At 40.6% G+C, this 19,577-nt stretch overlaps 1 protein-coding gene across 11 annotated transcripts in view, besides 1 other annotated feature; it reads left to right on the top strand.

Annotated features, from left to right (window-relative positions):
• PPARGC1A (PPARG coactivator 1 alpha) overlaps nucleotides 1-19,577 on the top strand; it is a 680,885-nt gene that overhangs the window by 189,431 nt on the left and 471,877 nt on the right. The window lies entirely within an intron of this gene.
• Nucleotides 16,105-16,606: an enhancer, noted in NCBI's record as "NANOG hESC enhancer chr4:24268492-24268993 (GRCh37/hg19 assembly coordinates)". NCBI's record gives its function as "activates a minimal SCP1, AML or CMV promoter by ChIP-STARR-seq in naive H9 embryonic stem cells {active_cell/tissue: H9 hESC(naive)}" and the evidence as "EXISTENCE:reporter gene assay evidence [ECO:0000049][PMID:30033119]".

The following is a 19,577-nucleotide window of genomic DNA, read 5'->3' as shown; positions in this document are numbered from 1 at the left end:
ATGAAGCCGTTTCCTTCGTTTGTTCCCTCTTTCAAGTTCAAATGCTGCCAGTTAGAACTTTCATGTATTAAATACCTGAAGGTGGGTAGGGCAGGTGGTATGACCCCCACTTTAAATGTGAGAAAGGGGAAGCAGGGATGGATCCCATGGCATGGCTAGTTGGTGGTGCAGTGAGGACTACCATCCAAGTAACCTCTTGCCATAACCCAGTGGGAGGTCGACATGGATAGGGTGGAAAAGTAACTGACAGTGAACCTTGGTGGTCGAGAACAATCATGTCTGTTGTTAGATCATGATCTTTTTGGATCAAATACCACCACCATGTCTTTGTCACTACATAATGAGCCTCACAAGGGGGTGGCTTGTAGAGGAATCAGTCATATATCTTCACCTTAAAAATGTTGCAAAGGAGAAGTGAGGGCCAGCGACTGAGTTGGTTTGTAAGGAGCACGGGAAGTAACTGCCGTATTATTGAAGCTGACCTTCTGCTTAAACCTGTAGCCATTTCATCAATCACCTACGGTTAGGTCCCCTGAAGGTCAGTCAAATGATTCTGTTAATCGCCCGCTTATTCTCAGGTTCTCGCTTCAGGAATAATAAATTTTTAAAACTTTTTAAAAAATGAAAAGTTGGGTGACAGGTGTGTATGGAAGAAAAATAATCAGATGGAAGAACAGTCATTTAGGAGCAAGCAGCCGGAGCAAGTGCTGGAAAAAAAGGTAAAAGTTTTCCATGGCTGAGGGAGACCTCACTGACTCACAGGACTGTGCCTGGATGAAAGAGAGGGACAAGGTTTTGATTTAGCTGCAATATGTCATCAACGCCACTAGGCCCTGTGCTGCTTGGCACCAAGTGCTTCCAATACTGAGTAAGAAATGTTCAGAGCTGCCCATGGAGACGTTCCTTACAGAATTAACCATACAGATAAAGTCCTCATCAGTGACACGTTCTGATGGACAGGTTCCTATGAAATCAGAGAGCTGCCTGACCCATTTTTCACTCGTCACCTAAAATACCAGCCTTTCTTTTTGTTATGCAGCTGATTTGGGGGCAACAAAAACCACACACTCCAACCCCTAAAGAGTTATATCTGCTTTATTAAACAAGTTTCTTTGTGTGCAGAAATAGACGCTGTTATTGACAAGATGGAGAAGTGGAGCCACTGACTCAAAGTGTAGGTTAGGGAATTGCTTGGTTACATGGTTATGTAATACCACAGTTATTTCAAGATCATGGGCCTCCATGTCAGAAAAACCTGTGTGGGGTCCTCATTCTGTACAACTATGTGACCTAGGGCAAGTTGCTTAACCACTCTGAGTGTCAGTTTCCTAATTGGTAGATAGTAATCATCTTATTTGCTCCATTGGGTTGCTGTAATGTTCACATGAAATCTTTCATTCATTCAAAAAATGTTTATTGATGTAATAAACATCCTATAATAGCAAGAGGTTAAAAGCATAGATTCTGGAATCAGAAGATCTGTGTTAGAATTCTGGTTTCAATGCTTCCTTGGACAATTTGCTGAAGCCCTTTGAGCCTCAGTTGTTGCATCAGAGATAAGAGTATCTGCCTTATAGGCTTGCTGTGGGAATTTGATAAGTTTCTCTATGTAAAGTCCTTAGAATGTGTCTGGCACCTAGTTAGTGCTATGTCAATGTTAGCCATTATTATGTGGTATGGACAACAGCAAGCCAAAAGAAAAATAAAAGATTGGGGGTGGGGGGGAAGAAACAGAGGCATGATCTCTGCCCTTCATGGAACTTCTGGTTTATTAGGGGAAGACAAGAAAGGGCTATTGCACAGAGCCTGCTGTATAGTAAATATTCAATAAATTGTAGTGTTATGATTTCGGTTTTCGTCCCCTTCAAACCTCATGTTGAAATTCAATCCTCAGTGTTGGAGGTGGGACCTAATGGGAGGTGTTGTGGTCATGGGAGTGGATCCTTCATAAGTAGATTAATGCCCTCTCTCTGCGGTGAGTTCTTGCTGTATTGGTTCCCATGAGAACTGGTCGTCACAAAGAGCCTGGCACCTCACTCTTCTCTCTGTGAGATCCTCTTGCACTGTGTGATCTCTACACATGCTGTCTCCTCTTCATCTTCCACTGTGAGTGGAAACAGCCTGAGGCTCTCACCAGATGTAGATGCTGATGCCATGCTTCCTGTACAGTCTGCTGAACTGTGAGCCAAATAAACCTCTTTTCTTTATAATTTACCCAGCCTCAGGTATTCCTACATAGCAACACAAAACAGACTAAGACGGGTAGCTGTAAGTTTCATCACTGTTACTGAATTTGCTTGGCTGAAGTCACGAGAAGCCAGAATCTGAATGGCAGAGGTGAGCTGTAAGTCATGTATATGCCACATGTCAAGCCTATACCTCCTTCTAGTTCCTAATCTTGTATATGGGATAGATGTATCCTTTGAGATAGGCAGGGAAATAGAGGTGGCTGCCTGACAGCCCACTCATAAAGCATATTTCTACCCATGATGAAACATGCTGGGCTTCTCCAGCTTTGGTTGGTTGATTCAGTTGTATATTACTTGTACCCAAGAGAACATGGACTGCCACATGCCAGAATATCTTGAGTGATTAACTTTATAAGGCTTCAGCAAGAAGTTGCTGTTGAGAAATGTGTCCCAGAATGCCAAAGACGAGGAACAACAAAAGTGTCTTCACATATGCAATGGATACATGCCTGAAAACTTGGGGATCAAATGGAATGAAACCCATTTTCTCATTAACTTTCATTGCACCATTGGAGATTAAGTCCACTAAAAAAATTGACTGCAAAATCTCTACTTTTCATAGAAATGTGTGCTCTAAGAAATAATAAAGCTGTGTGTTATCTTCCCGACCACTATTTTCTACTCATTAGCAGGGAGACAGATAATAGAAGTTTTTTTCTTTCCTCTCTCCTTCCCTTCTCTTTCTCTGCCTTCCTTTCCCTTCTTTCCTCCCTCCCTTCCTTCCTTTCTTCTTCTCTCCCTCCCTCCAGAAGGAAAAGAGCTTCCAAGAGACAGGAGAGCAGAGACACACCTAAGCTTTCAGGATGCAGCTCTGAAGCAGGTCACAGCATATTTCTGAGAACAAAAACTGTGATCTCCTGCCCTTTCTGCTTCCTGGGAAGTTGGTTTCTTTATTTGGCATTTGTTTAGCATTTATTTACAAAGTTTAGATAGCAGCTGTGACTTCAGCAGGTACACAGAGAGAAGAGCTAGCAGGCTGCCAAATTCCACGAGTACAAATCAAATGTAATGCCATGTTCCGTGAGTTCTCCGTATTATGTGGAATTAAACTTTGGACTGTCGAGTTGCTCTATGAGAAGGGACGCTTCCACTGATCTCTGCAAGCCAGTGGTTAACATTAAAGATGAGACGTGTGTCTGGCTGGGATGCATCAGGGCAGTTCTATTTGAAAGGGGGCGGGATGTGTGGGGCATTGTTGGCGAGAAAGAGCGGATGGGCTAGATATTGGCTTTCTGGCTGAATTGGGCTGGGCCTCTCTAATAATAGCTCTCAGAGGGAAAGGCCAATTTGCTCTCCTGCTGTTTTCTAGAATGCTTAAATTCCCTTTTCTCAGTGGCCCAGTTATGTACCTTAAGCATATGGGAACTCCAGCAACTATCTGCCCCAAATTGCACATCCTGAGCACATTTCTATCAATGTGCCATTTTGATGGGAGCAGAGACAAGAAGGGGGGTGGCAGAGATTGCCCCATGCCAGCCGAGAGCGTGACAGTCAGTCACCCTTGCAGGGGGACTGCGGAGGAAGTTTCAGTGCCTGAGGGTGCCGCGTGTGTCAGTGGAGCTTTGTCACCATCTGTGGCAGGAGTGGGGAGTGAGAAGACCATGTGTGAATCAACGCGGGAGAGTCTGCCTGGTTCTGGCTGGTGAATTCTTTGTTTGTTTGATTTTACTTTTTTTGGTTTGAGAGCTAGACACAACGATAACAAATGCTTGCCTCTCTACAGAATTCAAGATAGAAGGATCTTGTTTTCTTCTCCCCCCGTTACTTCTTTCTCTATCATCCTGAACACTCCCATGTTCTATTTCTCCAGCTCCAACCTTCCCTACATGTGACCCAAGATTGGGATTGTACAAAGATCAGTTAATAGGTTCATATTCTTTCTTTCTCATGATGTCTGGGAAATCACTAAATCTTGCATTGCTCTTTTCCCAGCATTTAGTCAACTCAAGGCTTCTCATTTATCTGCACCACATATTTGTAGCGGGAAAAAGCAAAACGGAGAGGCATTGAATTCACTCAAGCCATATACCCTTTGATTGTTCAAGCAGGTTGGAACAGAGTGGAATGTGTTTTTGTACCATGTGGTTGGACCACGGAAGTATAGAATTGGAAGGCCAAAAAGGTTAGATGGAAAAAAGTGGTGGCAAATTTTGCTGGCCCACTGAAGTGACAATGCTAACACCAATGTTTTCCTCAGCCTTGTAAGCTTTCCTTCTTGGTCCAGGAACAAACAGTTTCTATTTAGTATTTTTGCTGTGGGAAAACGTATCTAGGACTCAGCTGCTTCGGCTCAGGGGCTGACTTTCTGGTGAGTAAGAGTGACCTAGGGGAGAGTGTTGATGTGGATGCTTTCTGTTCTGGGAGCAGAGGTTCAGCTGTGTGGTTTGACTACTGTGTGCAGACACACTTCTGGTGAGGGGGAAGTAAAAAAAAATCATACGACTTTGTTGTTTTCCTTACAAAGCTCACAATGTAGGGATTTGTCAGTTTGTTAAGTCAAAATAGCAACACGGTGTGGAAAATCAAAGCTGACCTTTGCTTGGAGCCACGAGAAGAAAGGGAAGGAGTTGGGGTGAAGGTCTCTGAGGCTTCAAGAGGATGGGCATGCTTTTTCAAAAATCATGAAAAACAGAAGGGACTGAGCCTGTGTGCAGTATATAACTTTTTGCAAAAAAAATTTGTCCACTGTCTGTTTTTTCTTGTGTGTAGCCTTAAGTGTTGTACATAACCTTTTATAATTAGAGGTGGACAAATTCCCAGTACCTAGGACAAAGTCTGACACATAGTTGGTGCTCAATAAATGTTAGTTGAATAAATAAATACATCTTATTAGCCATCACTTGGACTTGACACAAGAAGGTATGGATTGTTTTTCTAGATAATAAGTTCCTTTTAAAGGTATAGATGGGGTGCTTATAACACCCCTTGAACTCCTAAATTATGCTTGGTACATTGTAGTATATCTAATTTAATCTCACAGAAGCCACGCAAAGGAGTTTATTGTCTTTTTTAAATTTTTCGTCTTATTTTATTTCAATTTTTATTTTTATTTTTTTTTGGAGACAGGATCTTGCTCTGTCACCCAGGCTGGAGTGCAGTGGTGCAATCATAACTTATGGCAGCTTCGAACTCCTGGGCTCAAGTGAGCCCAGACTCTTGAGTAGCTGGGACTACAAGCATGAGCCACCACGCCGGTCTTATTTTCAAAATTTTTATAGAGCAAAGGTCTTGCTGTGTAGCCCAGGCTGGTCTCAAACTCCTGGCCTCAAGCATTCCTCCAGCCTCAGCCTCCCAAAGCCCTGGGGTTACGGGTATGAGCCACCACACCCACCCCTTATTATCCTTCTTTTAGAGATGACAAAACTGAAGCTCAGAGAGGGTAAATTACTTACTGATGACACATAGCCCATTAGTGACAGGAGCAGCATTTGCTCTCCTGTCCTGACCCCCATTTGGTACTCTGTCCTCGACCCCCCTGCTAGCTCATGTTAATGTTCGTAGCTGATTGCAAAGTTAGTCTTTTAAACAAGGAAATAAATGAAATGAGGGAATTTTATTTCCCATCAGATTTCATCTCGCCTAGAGAGATTTATGTCCCTGGATTGTATTTCATGGAGTCTTTTTATGAGCAGTTAGATTTATAGGTAATAATCAATAGAGTGCTGAGCTGGGTTTCTGTTGCATACATATACCTTCAGAGAGCAGCTAAAATGGTCAAGGAAGAGACAGGCTTCATAGTTCCCATGCAGCATCCTAATTGAGCTGACACTGTTGGAGGGGTGGGGGCAAGAAGAGGAGTGAGACAGAGCCTACACTTGGAGGGCTGCTTGGGAAACAGTTGGGGGCCCACTGTATATTTGGAGAAAGTAAGCCACCAGAAGGGGCTCATCTGTCAGGAGAGGGCATGACTCTTATATCAAAGTCTACATGTGCAGCCTGGGCAACATGGCGAAACCCCGTCTCTATAAAAAATACAAAAATTAGCTGTACATGGTAGTGTGTGCTTGCAGTAGGCTAAGGTGGGAGGATTGCTTGAGCCCAGGAGGTTGAGGCTGCAGTGAGCTGTGAGCACACCACTGCACTCCAGCCTGGGCAACAGAGCGAGACCCTGCCTCAAAACAAACAAAAAGCAAAACCCAAAAATCCCTAAGGTCTACATGTGTATGTTTCCACAAATGAATACCTTTGAAGGTATCCCTGTTTGGACCTGAGTACATCCTGGAACACCTTAGGAGCCTGAATTTGAGGGCGGTCTGTACTCAGAAGAGCTACATGGAGCTGAGGTGCCTGACGCTTGATATTCATCATTTTGCTTGGGGGTTATATGTGATCCTAGACTCCATGTATCTGTCTGTGCAGGACTGGGTCTACTCACGTGTGCTCCATACTTCCCTTTTATGAGTCTTTTTCTTGCCCTTTTGGGCTTGCCTTGTTTAATTTCTGCAGGGCTTCAGTATCTAACAAGACATCATCTGATAAGAGGACTTAAGCTATTTCTTCTCTTAGGTATATTTGAGTTTAATTTTCCTACCTTTGGAGACCAGAAAACCTTTAAGAGGCAAAGAATGAATTGCTAATTATGGGATTCCAGGGTATTGAGAGAGTAGTGTTGTAATAATTTCGGGGGCAAAGAGCTCTTCTCAGATGCCTCTCAAATATGATCACAGAGGCCATTGGTTCCTAAACTTTGAAGAATAACCTGGGGAAGGTATTAAAAATACAGGCAGTCAAGAGTAGGACTGGCAATCCAGTCACGCAGGTTTAGAATAGGACTCAAGGACCTCGATGTCTGAGACCTTGTGTAGAGACAGATACTTGTTCTGCATTTGTGTAGGAATGGAAGTCACCAGTGTGAGGGTAGGCACACATGCATTTGCGTGGTTGTGCACCTGGATGCATGTGGACTTACAGGACCTGGAGCTTTGAGTCATAGTTCCTTTTCTGACAATGTGACTTTGAGCTCCTCCCCAAGCTATAATCATGGCTTCTACCTCAAGAGAAAACAAGTGGTAGGCATTTTCCTTGTTTACTGGAGGGATTCAGGTGATTGAAGGTGGCTGCTGCCCTTTCTTTGAGTCTTCGGAACTCTAGTGTAAATGTACTGTTGAGCCCCACTAAACTTTCATTAAGTCCTCCCTCTGCTTCCTGGATGGCTAAAAGCGTTCAGCTATAGGGTGTAACGATCACTTTGTAGTGTTTTTATATTTATGCTTTCCGTAGCTTTGCAATGTCAAATGTCATGTTTTCCTTCCCTCATTTCCTTCAATTCTTTCTCGCTTCCCTCCTTTTATCTTAGGTGCAGAAATCAGTATGAAACTTCGTATTCACAGAAGCAGCTCTATAGTTCTTCCCATTAGCCTGTGTGTATTATATATATGCATATCACTTGTGCATTTGTATTGGCAGTGCATGCTTATAAATGCTGCCATAAAGCTCAGTTCTTCCATCCAGGATGGGAATGGAGTTGTTAAAGACTGTTGATGAGGTGGCATCTCTTGGCCAACAGTTTTATGCTGCACTAGCTCTGAGCAGATAACATTAATAGGAATCACATTTTAAAGTTGTAAATTTGATGTAAAATACTAAATTTGACAATAATTGCATTCTAAAGCAAAAATCCTATTTATTAAAGGGTTCCTGCCTCTTCCTCATGTGAGGGGATCTGAAATTCTTGCTCATACCTGTCCCTAGCAATTATCGTGCTTTCTCTAAAATTCTGCCTTATTTTTCCATTTTCATAACAACTACATTATGATGTGACATATTTTTCCAGATATTTTGCTTGAATAAATAAATAGGATATTAAATTCAACTGGGGTATTAGATTATAAATTAGTTCTGTAATAGGCGTCATAATGTTATTTAGGTTTTCAGTTTACACAGACCTTGTAGCAACTCCCCAGAGCTATGCTACAGAATTAGAAGTAGATGGAAGTTGATGTAAGAAAATTGGTTTTTGTAATATGCTGATGCCAGTAGAGTTGTGCTGTGTGTAAGTAAACGTATTTAAATAGCACGCTCCTACTTACTTGATTGTACAGACAAAAGATTGATAATAATTTCAAATGATTGATTTGTTGGTGCTGATATTGGCCATATGTGAAACTAAAATATTTCTTTCCAAAATTGAAGCAGTACTTCCCGTGTGAGGGCTAAGAATCCGGGTTGTAGAAAGCATAAGACTATCCTCTGAATAGATGTTTCTTTTTCATCTGATTGGTGTAACAGTGGTATCACAAATATTTCTTAGCGGCAAAGTTTCTTGGTCCTTTTAGTTATATTTCACATGGAGGAAGATACTCTACCCAGGAACCCTGTGTGGTTATTGAAGTCATTAGCAAGGAGGGTATAACCTTAGTGAATCATTACCCATGGGACACAAATGGAAAACATGCACATTTAATTTAAAAAAAAATGTAGATTTGCTAGGTGAGGGCCAATAGCAGCTTAAAAAGGGAGCAACTGGGTAGCAAAAGGAATTTGTCTTTTTGGTGGTCTCTTTCATCTCCCTAAACCAAGGGTTGGCAAGTTATGGCAGATAAGACAAATCTAGCTGCTGCCAATTTTTGTATAACTCATCAGTTAAGAATGGTTTTTGCATGTTTAAATGGTTGAATAAAAATCAGAGGAGGAGTAATGCTTCATGACACATGAAAATGATATGGAATTCAATTTCAGTGTAGATAAATAAAGTTTTATTGGAACGCAGCCATGCTCATTTGTTTACATACTGTCTATGGCTGCTTCTCTACTACAACAGCAGAACTGAGTAGCGACGAAGGAGACCAGCTGGCCCACAGAGCCTAGAATCATCATCACTGTCTGGCCCTTTACAGAAAATGTTTGCTGGCCTCTGCTTTACAGTAAAACCAGGGTAGACTTCTGTGTTCTGGCCATATCAGAAAGCCCTGTACTAGGAAGGGATAGAGTAGGAGGTGGATATCCTCTGCTTGGGACTTTGGTGACCAGTGAACAGTGACACTTTACCTAAAAGAGACAATATGAATTAACAAATGAGAAGGATTGTACTTCTTGGGTAAAAAAGTTGAGGACTGTAAAATCAGTCCAACTAACTTCTGTAGCATGAGTAGAAATATGATACTGGGATAAATTCATTTCCAAATGTATGGAACTTTTATCTGATTATCAAGAAGTTGCTGCCCCACAGGACTTTAAAAAAGTGCCCCGGCCAGGCACGGTGGCTCACTCCTGTAATCCCAGCACTTTGGGAGGTTGAGGCGGTGGATCACCTGAGGTCAGGAGTTTGAGACCAGCCTGGCCAACATGGTGAAACACCATCTCTACTAAAAATACATTAAAAAAAAAAATTAGCTGGGCGTGGTGGCGGGTGCCTGTAATCCCACCTACTCAGGAAGCTGAGGCAGGAGAATCGCTTCAACCTGGAAGGTGGAGGTTGCAGTGAGCCAAGATCATGCCATTGCACTCCAGCCTGGGCAACAAGAGTGAAACTCTGTCTCAAAAAAAAAAAAAAAAAAAAAAGTGCCCCAAGGGGACAAAAGCTATTTTAGAGTCTCGTCCATACAACACTATTGGAAGGTGCCTTGGGCTGGGCAGGTGAGACCTGGGCCTGGTTGTTTTTGTCTCTAACCAGCCCTGACACTTAGGAAAATTCTCATTCTCTTTCAGGTTTTGGTCTCTTCATCTGTAAACTGTAGTTTCTGGACTCAATGACCTCTAAAGTTCCACTTGGTTCTGAGATGATACAGTGTCTCTAATAATGGGAACCATCACTAGCATAAGAAGGTCCCAGTCCCAGGAAAGAGAGTCTCTTCTTTCTGGTGTCTTTGTGGCTTCCCTTGCCTCTAAAATGCTGCATTTCATTAAGGGTTCACAAGTCTTGACATGTTTGTAAAGAAAGACACGACAGGAATTCATATGCCTCGCCTTATAACAAACATGTTGTGAATAACCTATATTTGGAATACAATTTGTCATAGTGATGCGGGCAGAGTTTTAAATTTGAGCAGCTTCTGAAATGCAATGTTTTATTCTTCTCAAGCAGCTCCCCAAGCTCTCCCACTTTACACTTTGAAGGGAGTCTTTATTGGAGAAGCTGCTCTCGATTTCCAAAGAATGGGAACATTTGCTTTAAACGATGCAAGAGATGCCATTGTAATTTCATGAGAATTACCCTTTCCAATGAATGTTCGATTAAGAACCAAGTAAAATCCCTTGAAAGTGGCTGGAAGATAAATTAGAGCTGAGCTGCAGTTAGGTAGAACTAAATTTTATTCCTTCCCTTTAAAATGGTTTTTAATTGATTTGGCATACTTTTTAAATTAATAATGAATACTGTACCTGGGTCTGCATGATCACACCTGTGAATTAGATCTATTGCACTGGAAACAGCTTTCCCTTACAGAGGACAGTGATTTTAATGAAGAGTCTTTGCTTATTGCACCAGTGGAAATGTGGTTCATGGTGGTTTCAGACAGTTCCTTAATTAGCAGTCTGGTCTGTTCCCCTGAATATTTTACCTGAAACAGTATGGAAATGTAGAAAGGAAAGACGCTTTATGATGACGTTGGGGGTTCTTCCCCACTTTGTGTGAGGATCTTGGAACTGGAAGAGTTGTGCAAATATGTAGTAAGGCCCAGAGTATTTTAAAAAGGGGTGGAAATGGGTAATTCTGAATAAACAATTGGTTCTTATATTAGAATAATGAATTTCACACAAGATTTTTTCTTTTTGTTGTGGGGGAAGTGTATTAAATTTCTAAATTAGGGCCTAGTGATCAGGTAAGTCAGGGGGGTATGACATGGGTGGAGTTGGGAATTTCATGGCACTTGCATTCACCTGTTAGGGATTGAAGCCTCCTCAGTGGTTCTCTGGCATTATGGGTAGAGCACGGGGTGTATCCTGGATCCATACTTAAAGGCCATCGTTAGAGACAATAGGAAGGGCTCAAGAGAGGATGAGTGTTAGGAATAATGCTCAAAATCCTAAGGTACTATGAATTAAATAATAAAAGATTGATCAGATTATTTGAAGAGAAACCTCATCATATCCCACGTGAGCTAAAGACAGACAGAGGTGAAAATATGTAGGAAGAACATAGCATCATCCCATGGACTCAGCACTGAGTGAGAAAAAGGAGATGGAGAAAACATGGAAGGAGTAAACAGAGGAGAAAACCCAATGCGTTTTGAAGAATGCAGTCCCTGAGAGACAGAAGCTAACAGTCAGCACACCTCCACCTTAAATAGAACACTTGGTCACTTTTATGAAGACCAGGATCTTAAAAGCTTAGGAAAATGAATGATCTGAGTGTTAGTATAATATAATAACAAGTATGTATACCATACATGTATATACATACATGTCTATCTCAATACATAGATGTATTGAGGACTTACCATGTTCCAGGTGCTAGGCTAAGTACTACACACAGAATAATCTGCTTTTGTTGTTACAATACCCCTCCAAGGTAGGTACTACTATGTTTTCCATTTTAAAGAACAGGAATCTAAGGCACAGAGAACTTACCTTTAGCCCAGTTCATATGACTAGAAAGTAAAAGGACCCACTGAGATTTGAACTCGGCTCACGCCTGTAATCCCAGCACTTTGGGAGGCTGAGGTGGGTGGATCACGAGGTCAGGAGATTGAGACCATCCTGGCTAACATGGTGAAACCCCATTTCTACTAAAAATACAACAAAATTAGCTGGGGTGGTGGCCGGCGCCTGTAGTCCCAGCTACTTGGGAAGCTGAGGCAGGAGAATGGCGTGAACCTGGGTGGTGGAGCTTACAGTGAGCTGAGATTGTGCCACTGCACTCCAGCCAGGGCCACAGAGCGAGACTCCATCTCAAAAAAAAAAGTAAAAGGACAAGGATTTAATCCTGGAAGAATGACTCCAAATCTCATGATATGCTGATTCTGCAGAGGGAACTCAGTCCGCTATTTAAAGGTGGAGGAGGAATTGTGCATTTCTTGAACTTGAACAACAGGAGTCAGAGTGAGGGCTGCATGGAAGGGCTGCCAGTTCCCATGATGCACTAGAGCAGTAGACCCCTGCATGCTCTCTTGCTACCAAACTGTAATTAAAATTATCATACAGTATAATGATTTCTAATACATTTCAGAACAAATCACCATCTTATATCTGACATGTTGTTAATGTTTACTACCATAATTACCAATTTGAAATATAAGGCAGCGATTTTTATTAGTTTTTGGTTATGTATAATTATGTCAAATATGAGACTGCAATTTAGATTGAACCGTATTAGCCATGATCATACAAAATGATTATACTGTGTATTTGACACCCTGGGTATTTTATGTTTTTATGGATTTTTTTCCTCCAAACCAGAAAGAATTATTTAAAGATAATCCAAAGGTTATTTGTAATGGTTTTCATTTTAAGAGTTTTAAACTGTAAACTTTTAAACTGTAAAACTCTTCATTTTAAGAGTTTAGACATACCAAAAATTGAATTTACTAAACCATCGTTTGACCAAAAGGAATAGGAGCTACCAATCAGTGGATATCTTCGGCATGCTGAACCCTTTTCTGGACACTTTGCACATTAAATTTGTAATCCTCATAAGTTACACAACTTTCCTTTTTCCTGACCAGGTAATTGGAATGCAGAGAATTAAAGAGATTTTTTTCTATGTAGTGAATAGTAAAGCTGAAATTCATGTTCATAATCTTTCTGGGAATTTTTATCCTGGGTGGTCAAAATAAGAGATCATTTATGATAGACTATTGCCACAGTATGTATTTCTATAAAATTAGTAGTGCCCTATATTTAATGAAATAATGTATATGCTGGTTCTTTTTAAGTATATTATATTACTCAGGGTTCTCTAGAGAAACACCCAAGAGCCGATTTTACACACATACACACACACACACACACACACAGAGAGAGAGAGAGAGAGAGAGAGAGAGGTTGATTTATTATAAGGGATTGACTTATGTGATTGTCAAGGCTGAGAAGTCCCAAGAGCTGCAGTCTGAAGGCCTGAGAGCCAGGAGATGCAGTGGTGTAAGTTCCAGTGAAGGACAACGCAGAGGGATCAAGATAGCAGATGGTGTAAATTCCAGTCTGAATCTGAAGGCAGGAGAAGCTATTTGTTCTATTCAAGTCTTCAAGACATTGGATGGGAACACAGCCCACACTGAGGAGGGCAATACGCTGTACTCAGTCTACTGATTCAAATGTTAACTTTATCCAGAAACACTCTCATAAATACACCCAGAATAATATTTAACCATAGAGCTGGGTGTCTCATGGCCCAGTCAAGTTGACACTCAAAATTAATTATTACATGTATTATCTCATAGTTAAGTTCTATTATGTCCATTTTAGAGCTGGAAAAACTGAGACCCAGAAGTTTAAGAGCTTTATACAAGTTTGCACAAGTTAACACTGAAAGAGCTAGGCCTTGAACTGAGGACTTTTGAATTAAATTCCTGTTTGCTCAGGACAGACTGTTACCAGCTTCCTTTGTGATTGTCAGCAGGAGACCAAAGCTGCCCCTTATTACAACAAAGCCTTGAGTTTTTTTGTGTGATGATGATGATGATGATGATAATAAAGTGTGATGATGAAGGCAGCTAATGGTGATTAAAGACTACATGCTAAGTAATATACTTTTATTATACTCGCGTAGTCTATGTAAAATGTCCCTTTTATAAATAAAGTGACTGAGATGTGGAGAGGTTCTCTCTACACAGTAGTAGAGCTAAGATTTGAACGTAGAACTCAAATTATCATACAGTACAATGATTTCAGATACATTTCAGAACAAATCACCATCTTATATCTGACATGAATACTAGAGTTCATTCTCTTATGTGTTCATTCTATAGAGATAATAAGTCACTTCTTGAGATAAATGACTCTGATTCCTTATCCTTCCCCAAGAAGACCCATTTTTCCACTCTCAAATATTCTTGTCTTAACACTTCCCTGAAAATTCTCCATTTTATCAATACATTTCAAAAATTTGGTCGTCAAAATTCATTAAATTCATTATGTCAAATATTGATATTTCAATGACTAAAAACAAGCATAAAAACAAAAAATGCAAAACCCAAAATCCAGAAAGATTACTTCCTGGTGCTGGTACATTATCAAATTATTTAAAAGAAATACATAATTTAGATTTTAAAAGCAATAAAACTATATTAGAGAGAGTAGTTACATATCTTAATTCAATCACAAATGTAACTTCATAAATTTCCACCCACTTGTTCATTTACACATACTTTGTTTTAAAAAAAGGAAGCTCCATGAGGGAAGGAAGGGGCTGACTATGTGTATTCTGTTCTTCACTATACCTGGTTCTTACAACAGTACTCGATATAGTAGGAACTCCATAAATATGTACGGATTAAATAATGAATCAATGAAGTATAAATATTAGTTTGCATTTTGCTTTTTAATTTTGTTAATACATCCATATATTTTAATCAGAATTATTTTAAATATTGCTTAAAATTAAGTTTACAAAGTAATTATTAGTGAAGAAATTTGCATCTTGACAAATAGTGACATTTTTGTCTATGATTGATTCTCTTGACATGCATTTTACTTTTTTGGATTTATGCAAAACTGAAACTATATACCTTTGTAAAACCAAAGATTGTTCTCTCTGAGGTCCTCTTTGGTAGCCATAGAAACGCTTTAAACAAATTTGTTCCTGCATGCACCTTGTATTACTTATCTATGAAATCTGTGCCCAATATAAGAGCATCTATTAGGAGTTTCTGATTCCATCAGTGGTAGGGGGTTTGCTGGCTGATCTCCACTCACGTTATTAGCCATCATTGGACCAGCAACATGCATTTGCAAGGCCATCATTAAAAACTGGACAAGAGAGGGTTTAAGCATGTGTTATAACTGAGTTAGCTGACTGGATGCTGATTGAACTCATAGCAGTGACCTTGGTTAATACTGGATTCTGTCTGAGCCATAGGGCACCAAACCAGATCACACTGAAAATTAACCCACCCTTTCAGCTAAAATGGAAAAAAGAAAATATTTTACTTATTATTGTTTTACTGGACTTTATAGTAGAGGGTCATTATGCTTGATTACAAATGTAAGATCCATGACATGGATCCATGCCATGTACATGTCAAGATCCAGAACTTTATATTTTAATGAATCAAAATTACATTTTTTTGTTGTTTCAAGTGCTTCCAACATCACAGAGATGTATGAATAAGTCCTTTTAAGGTTCATCCTGACAAAGAGACTTATAAATCCTTTAACTTAATTCTACAGTTGATCCCCTAAGAAAAGTTAAATATCACTGTTGTTTGTAGATTGCTAGATCACCACAAAGATAATTCTTTTATAAATACAGATGGTGCCCTTATGGAAATTACAAGACAGTAAGTAGGTGCCCATAGGAAAAAAAAATGACACGTTGATTAGCTAATAAAATGGTGCATAGTAGAATTATGCTTCTTGGTCTACTTTGTGGCTTCCTTGAACTTATGATGCCCTGTTTTCATTTTGGTTTTTAATATGTGTTCCTTCTAAAACTTTAAAAGTAAAGTATGAGTTTGATTGTCATGAGTATAAAATGCTAATCATTGATGGACAGTGAACCATGCCTATGAAGCTTCCACCTCCTCACCCTCTTCTCACCCCAAGTCATTCTTCCTGGCATGAATTGAGGCTGAAACAATTGCCAGAAGATGAGAACACAACACCGGATTGATAGTCACAAAAGGAGGAGCCAATGAATATGTTATTCAAAGCTTGTTGATATAAAAATGAACCCTTAGCCTTTTGGCATTTAAGGGTGAAGGGGAAAGGGAAGGGGAAGGAACCTACATTTACTGAGTGCTTAGTGAGTGCCAGGTCATGGAAACAATCTCTGCTTTGGTTCCCTGCTGGGGCTTACGCCTTTTATTCTCTGTGGGCTACATTGTACCGAAATAACCATCCCTCTCTCTTTTTTAACATCAGTTAAAAAGAGTGAAGAGGAATTTTATCATGGTATCAGGACATGGAGGGCATTTGCATATTAGCATTCCACTGTCGCTACTCTGTTTGTTGGTGGGTGGAATGTTGAGAAATGTTGCCCAACCTCTTGCAAATGGCATGTGAATAATCCCATAATCAGTGTAATGTATTCTGTTATGGGAGTCATCAAGTCATTCAGCTTTGAAGTAAGATCCAATTTTTAGAAAGTGGCTGATGAATGCAGTTTCAGGTATTTAGAGGAAGCTGATGTACCTAAAGTATGTGGGTCTTCTGGTTGAACAAGGGAAAAAAGTACTTGAGGAAACTGAAGCAGACCATTCTAAAAATACCTAAGTTTCAGGATATATTTTCCTAGTGGCATAGTATTCAATTGAAGATCTTAAAATTAAACATGTCTGTGTGCTTTTCAATTTAGTGTTGTGGAAAGCTGAGTTAGCTGGTAGTGAGGAATGGGAAGATGGCCGCTTATTCTAAATCTGAGGATGGCGCTCCCTCCGCATCTGTTGTTCCTTCCCTGCAGGATCTTTGCAGCCTGGAGTCCTCATTATTCAAGGCTCAGCTTAAATGTTCTTGCAACAGGGATGCCTTCCCTGAACACATTTCCCCTGCCCTTAAGCCGCACTCTACCTCATCTCCTTTTCCTTTTTTTATTTTCTTCAAGGTCCTTATCACCAACAGAAATTCTTACTTATTTGCTAACTTACCCTCCTCTGGGATAATGTAAGTTCCTTGACAGCAGAGACTCATGGTATTCACAAGACCCCAAACAATTCCAGGCACCTTGGAGGCACTGATGGAGGCACCTACTGACTGACTGAATGAATGAATGCTAAACCCATGACCCCAAGATCCTGGGGTTCAGAGGGTTACTTTCCACCTGCATCATCTGCATCACTAAGCAATCTAACAGAGCAGCTGCATTTTTCCTCCTACAACACGAAGCAACTCCTCAGCGGCACACCTTAGGGTCAAGGCTCACCCAACTCCATCTGGTCCCAAGTGGGAGACTGCAACTTATTCACTGGGCAGTTCTGATTCCCAGCCAGGCCACAAGCCAGCAGCCACTGCAAAATGCTGCAGTGTCCCTGTTAGTTAAGCTTCACATTACTTAAGACATACATTTCAAAAATAACTCCGGCATCTCTCGTTACGTTCTGTTCTTGATTTGCAGTCTGTAGCAATCCAAATCCCATTAACGCCAGAGCCCTTGTACAAAGCCTTTTTACGGGCTTGGGTTAATTTAAATCTGTGCATTTGTAGCCTCCTCTCCCCCAAACTTAGGCTTTTCAATGACTCCCTTACTCCCCTCTTTTGCACATGTGCTCCCCCTCTTTTTAGTCCTTTCCTCTCTCCTTTCCCCTTTTCCTCCCTCCCTCCCTTTCTTCCTTCTCTCTCTTTCTCTCTATTCTTTTGCCTCCTAGAATGTGGGTGAGTCTTAAGGATTCTTTCTTTCTGCAATTGAATTCTAAGCACGTGAGGAACAATTTTCGCCCTAGTTTTCTCTTTGACCACCTCTTCCACTTCCAGTGTATCTAGTATTCTAACATTAAGTAAGGTCTTCATGGAAAGCAGCATATATAAAATCTTCATGTACAAGTAAGCAATTTTTGGACTAATCATAGGTGTATCAACACATCCCTATGGAATTTCTTTTCTTTTTTTCTGCCCCCCGGCATCGATTTTCTGTTTATGAAAGTAATGCATTGCTCACTGTGAAGCCATTCGAATAATAAAACCCAGGGTGACTTTAAGCAGAAGCCTTCCCCTGTGTAGTCAGAAGAGGATTTGGCTTTCAAGAGAAGAATTAACAAAACTCATTTTAAGGGCCCATTTATTGCAGAAAATAGTGGAATTACCTGTCCAAGGGAATGAGAAGTGTTCAGATGTTGCCGACATTTCCCCCAAATGCACTGTGGTCCCAGAATAATGACTTCTTTTTATAGGAAAAGAAGGAGAAGTTGCCTTGGTTCAGTGAATAGGAAACACTGGTACTAGGCTTTCTTGGTGTGCACAAAAATACGCCCAAGTCTGCCTTTTCAATGAAAGCCACTAGACCACATCAGAACCAAATAGGGTATATATTTCTTATCTTTTGATTTATTTGTTCTTTTAACAAACCCACATTTCCCAAAGTCTTTTCCATAGAATAACTGTCACATGGGAGTTTTCCATGCCAAAGGGTTCCGTGGTCACATACATTGGGGAAACATACATTGTATGACATATACAATGTCATACATTGTTGACAGTTCTTGGAGATATGTGATGTGCATTAGCATATTAAACTACGAGAAAGCCTGAAGCAAAGAGAACTGTGCTACCTCACTTCTTTGTTGTTTCTAAAACTTATTTCACTATGAAGTCTTTCTCTTTTTTTTAAGTAACACCTGCAAGTATTCCCCAGATCCATTTGGCCACAAAAACAACAGAGGAAACAAATAGGCAAAAGCAGTTCTTGTACACCTGCTCTGGGTGCATGGTCTTTGTCTGGGGCTTTTGCATTCCTGTTGCGCTTTTTATTCCTGGATAAGAAGATGCATGAGACAAGAACTCATCTCTCTAATTCTTAGTAGCAGGCACTGTGCTGGGTGCTTTCCTTGCATTACTGCATTTGAACTCCATGGCAGCCTGGGTTCCGCATGTTGCCAATGAAGGTTCTAAAACCCTAAGAGGTGATGTATGTAATTTGCCTTGGGGCACTTAGTGAGATAGGTGGTAGAGTCGAGTGTAGGATCATGGTGGCTGACCTTCTGCCAAGGCTCTTGATGCTTCCAAAGCTCATGCCCTTCAGCACAGCAAATGCAGTCCTCACGGCACCTTTTCTGCTCCTGTGGGCCCTTGGTGGCATTCACTGGTCACCTTTCTGAAAAGAAACTGTTCAGCAGTGTGGCATCACAGACCTCTCTTGGTGGAGACTCTGTGCACCCTTCACATGCAAGTAACTGGAAATTGAGTGTGTGATGTGTGTGTACACATACATGCAGTTGAGCCTTGAACAACATGGGTATGCCAACCCTCCACACCATTGAAAATCTGGGTATAACTTTTGATTCTCCCAAAACTTAACTACTGATAGTCTACTATTGACTGGAAGCTTTATTGATCACATAAACAGTCAATAAATATTTTATATAAGTATTCTATACTTTATTCTTACAATAAGGTAAGCTAGAGACAAGAAAATGTTAAGAAAATCATAAGAGCTGGGCAAGGTGGTTCACACCTGTAATCCCAGCACTTTGGGAGGCTGAGGCAAGCGGATCACTTGAGCCCGGGGGGTACAAGATCAGCCTGGGAAAAATGATGAGACCCCATCACTACAAAAACATAAAAAATTAGCTGGGCATGGTAGGG

Source organism: Homo sapiens, chromosome 4, assembly GCF_000001405.40.
Source record: "Homo sapiens chromosome 4, GRCh38.p14 Primary Assembly".
Classification (NCBI taxonomy): domain Eukaryota; kingdom Metazoa; phylum Chordata; class Mammalia; order Primates; family Hominidae; genus Homo; species Homo sapiens.
Note: the sequence above shows the minus strand (reverse complement) of the source record. Positions and strands in the feature narration are given on the sequence as shown.